This window comes from Homo sapiens, chromosome 19 (genome assembly GCF_000001405.40).
Source record: "Homo sapiens chromosome 19, GRCh38.p14 Primary Assembly".
Taxonomy (NCBI): domain Eukaryota; kingdom Metazoa; phylum Chordata; class Mammalia; order Primates; family Hominidae; genus Homo; species Homo sapiens.
In genome coordinates this window covers 79,093-88,547 of record NC_000019.10, presented here as the reverse complement: position 1 = coordinate 88,547, position 9,455 = coordinate 79,093, and the positions used below count along the sequence as shown (strand labels likewise).

At 38.8% G+C, this 9,455-nt stretch overlaps 1 annotated feature.

Annotated features, from left to right (window-relative positions):
• Positions 6,170-6,671: an enhancer, noted in NCBI's record as "H3K27ac-H3K4me1 hESC enhancer chr19:81877-82378 (GRCh37/hg19 assembly coordinates)". NCBI's record gives its function as "activates a minimal SCP1, AML or CMV promoter by ChIP-STARR-seq in naive H9 embryonic stem cells {active_cell/tissue: H9 hESC(naive)}" and the evidence as "EXISTENCE:reporter gene assay evidence [ECO:0000049][PMID:30033119]".

The window sequence follows — 9,455 nt, the reverse complement described above, 5'->3', positions numbered from 1 at the left end:
TATAATATTTACTTTTGGCCTTTTACGGAAGAAGTTTACTGACCTTATCCTAGATCAAGGAAGTTTGGCAGAGGAAGAGGGTATGGTAGAAGCACCATCCATATCTATCTTCATCATCTTCATATATAGTTGGGAGTAAAGATGCAGATGAAAGTTGAGAAGGTAAGGTTCTTGAAGTCCTGTAAACCCTGCCTCCAGACACATTGTCTGGAATCAGGATGTCTACATGATTGCAGGGCTAATGTAAACTGAATTTGTGAGGACTTCGGTTAAAAAAATTGTTAAGAATTTCAAGGCAGAAACAGCAGAGCATTAAAAAAAGTGTAGGATCCTTTTAAGTGTGGGATCTTGTTCAACTGCACAGGACACACACTTGTGAAGCTGATGTTGTCTGCAATAATGCTAAGAATCTTAAAGTGTTGAATTAGAAGTTAATACAACTGGGCAAACCGCTCGGGTCCCCTTCCACACTGTGGAAGCTTTGTTCTTTCACTCTTCACAATAAATCTTGCTGCTGCTCAAAAAAAAAAAAAAGTTAATACAACTCTGAGCACTCAGTACATAAAGTTTCCTTTCCAGTTGCTGAAGGAATTTATAGTGGCCCGTACCCTGTACATTAACACATGAATGAGAGAAATGAGTGCATGAATATTTTGAACAGTGTGACTTAAGTGAGGTACGAACCTCAAAAAGACGTTTTTTAAAAATTTTAAATTTTAACTGCTATATTTCTTTTTGATAACAAGTTATATATCTTTATGGTGTGTAATGTGATGTTTTGATACATATGTATATTTATCGTGAAACAGTGACCACCATCAAGCTAATTAACGTAATTCATGATCTGACATAATTATCTTAGTCATTGCTTTGCAGAGTATGAGTGTCTGTTTCCTCACAGGCTCATCCATGATATATTATTATTTATGAAAACACAATAGCAATGCTATATTTTAAAATTTACATTTCTTTGATAAAAAGTGAGTTTGAATATTCTTCATATGTTTATTTTTTATTTGGATTTCTTGTTTTGTCCATAGTCTTTATATGCTTATTTTAAATTTGGTTTAAATTATATTTAAAAACCATTTTCCCACATTTGTTTTTACTTTAATGAATTAATTCTTCTGTATAATTTTTTTAATCTGAAAATGTCAGCTTTTTTGTTTCTCATTTTTAAAAATTATTTTTTAATTGACAAAAATTATATATATTTGTGGAATACAGTGTGATGTTTTAATATATGTGTATGTTGTTGAATGAATAAATCAAGTTAATTAACACATATATTACCTCATATTAACATTTACAATATACTGTATTAGCAATTTTCAAGCATACAATACATTATTAATTACAGTCAACATGTCGTATATTGGGTCCCCTGAATGTAATCCTACTAATTGAATTTTTTTCCTTTTATTAACAATGTCCCATTTCCTCATCCTCTCCCTGCCAGATAACCCTAGTAACCATCATACTATTCTCTGCTTCTATGAGTTCAGATTTTTTAGATTCTAAGTGAGATCATGCAATATTTGTCTTTCTGTGTCTAGCTTATTTCACTTAGCTTAATGTCCTCTAGGTTCATCCACGTTGTCTCAAATGACAGAATTTCCTACTGTTTTTAAGGCTGAATAATTTTCCATATCACATTTCATTTATCCATTCATCTGTCTATGAACAGTTAGGTTGATTCTATATCTTGGCCATTGTGAACATGCTGCAATAACATAGGAGTGCAGATATCCCTTTGACATATTGATTTCAATTCCTTTGGCTATATACCCAGAAGTAGGATTCTTGGATCATGTGATAGTTCTATTTTTAATTTGTACATGATGCAAGGGTTCCCTTTTCTATCATCCTCTCTGATAGTTGCTATCTTTCATCTTTTTGATAATAGCCATTCTAACAGGTTTGAGGGGACATCTCATTTTGGTTTTAATTAGTACTTCCCTGACAAATAGTGATGTTGAGCATTTTTTGATGTATCTGTGGCCCTTTGTATGTTGTCTCCTGAGAAATGTCTATTCCTGTCCTCTGCCGATTTTTAAATAATTTATTTAATTTATTTATTTATTTATTTATTTATTTATTTTACTTTTGACATATTTGTGTTACTTGTATATTCTGGATATCAATCCCCGGTTGGATGAGTAGTTTGCAAATATTTCTCCCATTCAAGAGGTTATCTTTTTCACTCTATTGATCGTTTCTTTTGTTGTTAGAAATTTTTTAATTTGGCATAGTCTCATTTGTCTATTTTTTCTTTTTTTGCCTGTGCTTTTAGAGTCATATCAGAAAAATGATGGCCCAAACCAATGTCAGGAAGAATATTTTCTATGTTTTGTTCTAATAGTTATACCATTTCATGTTTTAAATTTGTATTTAATCCATTTCCAGTTGAATTTTGCATATGGTATGAAATCAGGATTCAACTGCATTCTTCTGCATGTGGATATATAGTTTTTCCAGCATCATTTATTGAAGAGATTGTCTTTTCCCCATTGTCTTCTTGACATTGTTGTTGAAAATCAATTGAATGTAAATGTGTGGACTTATTTCTGTGCTCTTTATTCCATTCCATAGGTTTATCTGTGTGTTTTTATGACAGTATCATGTTGCTTTGATCACTATAGCTTTGTAGTAGATTTTGAAATAAGGTAGTGTGATGCTTCCAGTGTTGTTCATCTTGCTCAAGATTGCTTTAGCTATTCACAGTCTTTTGTGGTTTCATGCATATTTTAGAATTTTTTTTTTATTTCTGTCAAAAATACCTTTGGGATTTTGAAGAGATTGCAATAAATGCATTAGATCTATAAATTGCTTTAAGTAGTGAGGACATCTTAACAATATTACTTTTTCTAATCTATTAACATGAGATAGCTTTCTATTTATATGTGTCTTATTCAACTTCTTTTTTCAATGTTTTATAGTTTTTAGTGTACAGATGTTTGGTAAAATTTATTCCTAAGTATTTTATTTTTTGGATTCTATTGTTAGTGGTATTGTTTTCTTAACTTCTTTCTCTGTTAAGTCCTTATTAGTGTATAGAGACACTACTGATTTTTGTATGTTGATTTTGTATTCTGCAACTTCACTGAATTTACTAGCTCTGTAGTTTTTTTTTTTTTTTTGCTGAAGTTTTAAGGGGTTTCTACATATAAGATTATGTTATCTGTAAACAGAAAAGTTTGCTTCTATCTTTCCAATTTGGGTGTTTTTATTTTTATTTTGTCTAATTGTCCTGGCTAGGACTTTTAGTACGATATGGAATAGAAATAGCAAGAGTGGGAACCTTTATATTATTTCTGACCTTAGAGGAAAAGCTTTCATTTTTTTTACCAGTGTGATGATTTTACTATTATGATGTTAGCTGTGGGCTTGTTATATATGGCCTTTATTGTGTTGCGGTACATTCCTTCTATTCCTAATTTGTTTTATCTGATGTCTTATTATGAAAGAATGTTTACTTTTGTTAATGCTTTTTCTGCATCTATTGAGATGATAATATGATTTTTATTTTTTATTCTGTTAGTGTGGCATATCACATTTATTGGTTTCCATATTTTGAACCATTCTTGCATCTCAGAGATAAATTCTACTCGATTATGTTGTATGACCCCTTTAACGTGCTGTCGAAGCTGGTTTGCTGTTATCTTGTTGAGTATGTAGTTTTGTCATTTACATTGTCTATTCAAACTGACAGCTTGAATGTTGTGGTTATTGATATGATTTATAATATTCTTCATATTTAATAGGTATCAGTGGCTTGTCACACATGAAGCATACATATTTTTCCCACTTTGTCTTTATTTTTGTTTTTGAAAATTTAAATTCAATATGGTAAAATTTAGACTTTTTTCATGGTTTCTGCTTTTGCTTCCTTGCCTAAAGTTGCATACCTCATGCCATAATTATATACATTTTGCCTACATTTTTACAAGTTATTTTATGGTATAATTTTGAAATAGTTCAATCCAAAAATATTTATAAATGTACATATTCAATTTCTATGTGTCTAAAAATCCAACTTGTTGTTTGTTTTTCAAAAAGTATTTTATTCCCTCCACAGTATGTGGATCTATTTACCTCTCTTTTGAAAATATACCTTTATTACCAGACAAAACTTAGATTAGTTTCTGGGCTTTTTTTTTAAAAAAACTATTCTAATCTTTTTTTTTATTGTGAATAATTTAAGGAATCATTGATTAGTGTACATTCAACAGCACAGACTTCCTACCACAACTCCTTCCTGATTGCTAATTGATTAGTTTCTAGATCTGATATGTCATTGATTTCCTCCATTGCATTCCATATGGGTTAACTTTTGTATTTTGTGTGTTTAAGAAAAGCGTAAATAGAGATCAACCCAGCACTTTGCTGAGAATTGTCAAATGAATTTAGTATAATATTGGTTCTCACAATTAGTTTTTCTGTGTGGGTCAGTTTTCTAATTTCTGCACAACTATGGATTGCTGCTTAAAACGGATATTGATTAATTACACAGGGGTCAGCTTAAGATGGGATGTAATTGATCCAATAGCCAGAAGAAAACAGGAAGAAACAAATGTACACTTCTTATTTATGTTTCTTATCTTACTGTATACTCCAAGCATAGTATTAATGAGCAGAGTTGAGAACCTGACTCAGCCACTTATGCTTGCACAATAGGCTCTTGAATAAAGTAGTGATAAGTGTCAAGTATTAAGGTTTTGCATGGGTAATTCAGCATGATCTCTTATCATTAAGGCAGTTCTAGCTACAGCCTCTGTTGAATGTTTGACCTTTCAGAAACAGTCATAGATGTTCAGCCCTTGACATGATTGAGGCATTCAATTGGCAACGTAATGGCACATTGTTTACCCTCTCTACAGTGGAAGAATAGCAATTTGTTCTTACTGGGATAAATGTGTTTTCCACCTGTGGCTTTGACTCTCCTGCCATCAATGCCTTGGCCATTAAACTATCCAAAGATGCATAGAATGCCTAATGTTCTTTGTAACACACCTTAGGACAAAGGAATATATTTTGTAGCAGAGAAGGTACAATAATATGCATACAACCAAATGATCCACTGGTGCTATAATATACTATATTAAACAGAATCTATCAGTCTGATAGAACATTAAAAGATATTTCTTTTAAAGGTGGATATAAAGGTGCAACTAAATGCCAATTTAGGGATGGTACTTTTCAGAGTTGGGGCTCTGTGCTTTAACATGTTATACTTTGAACCAATGGACATTGTAAGATATTGGGTCCTAGAATATACAGGTTTGTAAACCAAGGGCAGAGGGTGAGAGTGGCTCCTCTCACTAAAACTCCCTTGGAGAATTTGAGCTTCCTGGACCTACAGCATTAAGCTCTGCTGGAGTAGGGAGAATGCTTCTTCTGGGTACATAGTAAGCATTCCAATAAGAATAAAGTTTTAGTAGCTCCCTGTCATTTTGGCTTCCTTGTGTATGTAGGTTGGCAGACAAAGAAATAAGTTATTATACTGGCAGTTGTAATTGACCTTCATTATCATGAGGAAATAGAAATATTGCTATACCTTTATCAACCATAGATGATGACAATTGTAAATTGGAAATTGCAGCAATTACAGCCTGACAGGGCCATGGTAATCATGGGTCTTTGGAAGTGAACTAGACTAGCAGAAGCACTGGATAAACATGAGGGGAATATAGAACAGGTTGTAGAAGAGGAAGATGAAGAATGTCATCCTGGGAACAAGTGTAATGACAGGACCCATTAACTCTTGTTCCTTTAACACTCTTGTGTTTGAAGAATTAATGATGGAGTGAACTCACATAGAGCATAAACTCCTCCACGCATGGAAAGATGTGGACTGTTTCTAGTGCTGTTGGTGTCTTGCACGTACCCCTCTCCACTTAATATTCCCAAGAGTTTGGATTGTTCTATAAGCTCCTGAGAATCTCTGGCTGAGGACTTTTCTTTGAATATAGAAAAAGCTAAACTCACAAGGTGGGGAAACCTAGAATTGCTGTAGAGAAAATGCCCTAGAGCAGCTCTAGACCAGTAAAGAAATGCACAGCTTCTTTGTTTCTTAAGTGGGACAACTACAAGTCATAGAATTTATACAGTCTCTTGATGGCCACAGCAAGAATGTGCCCTTGATGTCCACTGTAGTAAATACAAATCAATGCATCCTTTATTGGCATCCTCCCCTTTTCTTGCCTGGGGAGGCAGAGGTTGCAGTGAGCCGAGATCATGTCACTGCACTCCAGGCTGGGTGACAGAGAACCTGTGTCAAAAAAAAAAAAAAAAAAAAAGGAAGAAGGAAGAAGAAGAAAGGAAATATGGCATGTTGGGGATGGGGATGGAAGTGGGTTGCAATTTTTAAAAGGGTAGCCAGGGAAATGCTTACTGAGATTTTTAAGTACAAGTCTGAAGGAGGCAAGGGAGTGAGTCAAACATATACATGCAGGAAGGGCTCTCTAGGAGGAGAAAGCAGTGAGAGCAAAGGCTGGGAGCCAATGCAGCCCTGGTGGCTTCGAAGAACAGCAGAGGGCCAGCGTGGCTGCGGCAGAGGGAGTCAGGGCAGTGTGCTAGGAAGTGAAGGCAGGGAGATGCAGGAGGTGTGGATTGTTGGGGCGTCACAGGCTGTGTGACTCCCAATTGCTGTGTGACAAATTCCCACAAATCCAGCAGCTGCAAATACGACCCAATGTTCCCCAGCTTCTGCAGGTCAGGAGTTGGCACAGCCTAACTGGTCCTCTGTAAGGTGCCATCAGGGTGTCAGCCAGCACTGGGTTCTCATCTAGGGCTCAGCTGTGTGGATGGCTCTGCTTCCAAGCTCACATGGCAGCATTCAGTTCCATGCAGGGTGCTGGACACAAGACCTCAGCTTCCTGGTGAGCATCGACTGGAGGGGGCTCTTAGCTCCTCGCAGCTGATCCCCTCCATGAGGCAGCTTGCAACATGGCAGCCTGCTTCTTCAAAGGCGTCAAGAGAGAGTCCCCAGAAAGACAGGTTATGATCTTAACATTTTATTTATTTATTTTTTGAGACAGAGTCTCGCTCTGTCACTGAGGCTGGAGTGCAGTGGCACGATCTTGGCTCACTGCCACCTCCACCTCCTGAGTTCAAGCAATTCTCCTGCTTCAGCCTCTTGAGTAGCTGTGATTACAGGCGTGCACCACTATGCCTGGCTAATTTTTGTATTTTTAGTAGAGGCGGGGTTTTGCCATGTTGGCCAGCCTGGTCTCGAACTCCTGACCTCAGGTGATCCACCCGCCTCAGCCTCCCAAAGTGTTGGGATTACAGGCACGAGCCACTGCATCCAGCCAGTGATCTTATACAATATGATCAGTACATGAATCACATATATACCGCCTCCTTCATAAGCAAGCCACAGGTTCTGCTTACAACCAGAGAAGGGGATTATTCAAGGGTGTGAATGGCAGAGGTGGGGGTTGTGGGGGTCACCTTAGTATCTGCCACCACAGCCTGTCCTCTGTCCCCAAGACTCCTGTCCCTTGTGCATGCAAAACACATTCACCCCTCTTGAGATCCCTTCATGCTCACAGTCCCGAATCTCATCTAAATCGGGTTTAGGTGTAGAACAGATTTCTTTGGATGTTCCTCTGATCTGGAAAACTAAAGATACAAGCTATCTGCCCCCTACATATGCAACACACAATGGTGGGTAAAGCTTGAGACATTGCTGTTCAGAAAGAGGCAGCAGGGGAGGGATGAAGGAATGGTGGTTCTGAAATCCAGCTGGACAGACGCTGGTGTTCCCTAAACAGGTTTTAAGATGTGGGAAGATTCCATGTCTCTTGGCTCTGCCTTCTGGGCTTCTGCCTCTGGGTCATCCTTCTTTTCTCACGAAAGATCCACGTGTTTGCAGCCAAGTAGTTTTATCAGCCTTCTTCTTGACAGCAGAGTTTGGGGTCTCTGACAGTCTTCTTTCATTTTGCACTCTGTCCCCTACAGACCAATCTGCCAGCACTGTGGGTGAAACAGCTTTCCCAAACCCTTTGCCTGTCCTCTGTGGGTTTCAGTGGGGCTCATAGTCGATTTGTCAAGAGCCATACCCATGAATCTTTTAGAGATAAACTCTACCTTTCTACCTTCAGCTCCTGCCAAGATGGCCCCCAGGGTAACTCACTGAAGCTTCCCAAGGGCCCTAAGGTTTGGTGGAGAGGTTCTGCATGGTACACCCTTGTAATCTCTTGCAACAGACCTCTGTGTGACTCATTGCTACTCCCATCCTTTGATCTTTATGCATAATCACAAAAGACTGTACAGTTACACCCTATGCCACATGCTCAGAAGCCATTTGTTAATTTCAGCATCTTTTTCCATGTGGGGAGACTGACAATTTTCAAAATCATCAAGTCCTGATTCAATTTTAACAGTTTAAAAACCAGTCTCTTTCTCAATTTATCTCTCTTCTCTCACACTATATTATAAGCAGTAAGAAGAAACCAGGCAGCATCCTCAACATTTTACTTGGAAATCTCCTCAACTGCATACCCAATTTATCACTTACATGATGTGTTTGCCACGTAACTGCAGGAGACCACTTTTCTAAGCTTTCTGCTCCTACCTAACAAGGATCCCTGTCCTCCAGCTTCTAGTGCGAAAATCCTCACTGCCTTTGAGCAGTGGCGAGTCCTCCGAGCCCAGATATCTAGCAACAGTCTGCTCACCTTAGAGTCTGTCTGTCACCACCTGGGCCATTTCTAAGGGACCAGAGCTTTCCTCTGAGATGAGGCTTTGAGCTGAGGAGCCACATGATCTGACATGGTTAAGGATGCCTCTGGCTTCCCTGTTGAGAATAGACTGAAGGGGCAAAAATGGAAGCAGAAGAGCAGTTAGGAGGCTCCTGTCAAACCCACGTGGAAGGCAGGCTCTGGGCTGTGTTACTGGACTAACACTAACACCGTCCCCTTGCACTTCTGAGGGGTCCCTGGAACTTCCCCAGGGGATGAGACTCCTGGCTAGCAGGACTCAGCCCCTCCCCTTCAACTTTACTCAGGACCTGGTCTCCCCTCCTTAAGGTCTCTGGAGCCCAACGCACACTTCAGCCCACTCTCACAGGCATTCTCTCTGTCCACAAAATATCAACGAAGAGTCTTCTGTGAGTGCAGCATGGTGTGAACACTGGGAGTACAAGGAGAAATAAGACACAGTTGCTGTGCTGGAGAAGCTTGTGCCCAGTGGTGGTGATACTGCCGGAGGTGAGACCACTATGCCAGCACAGGAACAAAGACGGCAGGGGCACAGGGCAATTCAGGGGTGCAGATCTGGGGGCATCCAAGAGGCTCCTAAGCCTCAGTATATAAACTGACAGGTCACAGCCTGCTCTAGGAAACACCTTCTTAAGGGTTGGAGTTATCTCTGTGCATCCCATCCCCACCCCACCAAGCCGCCCTTGGCCCTGCCCTCAGGAGCCTCTGCTTGGCCTTGCTAATTCCTCT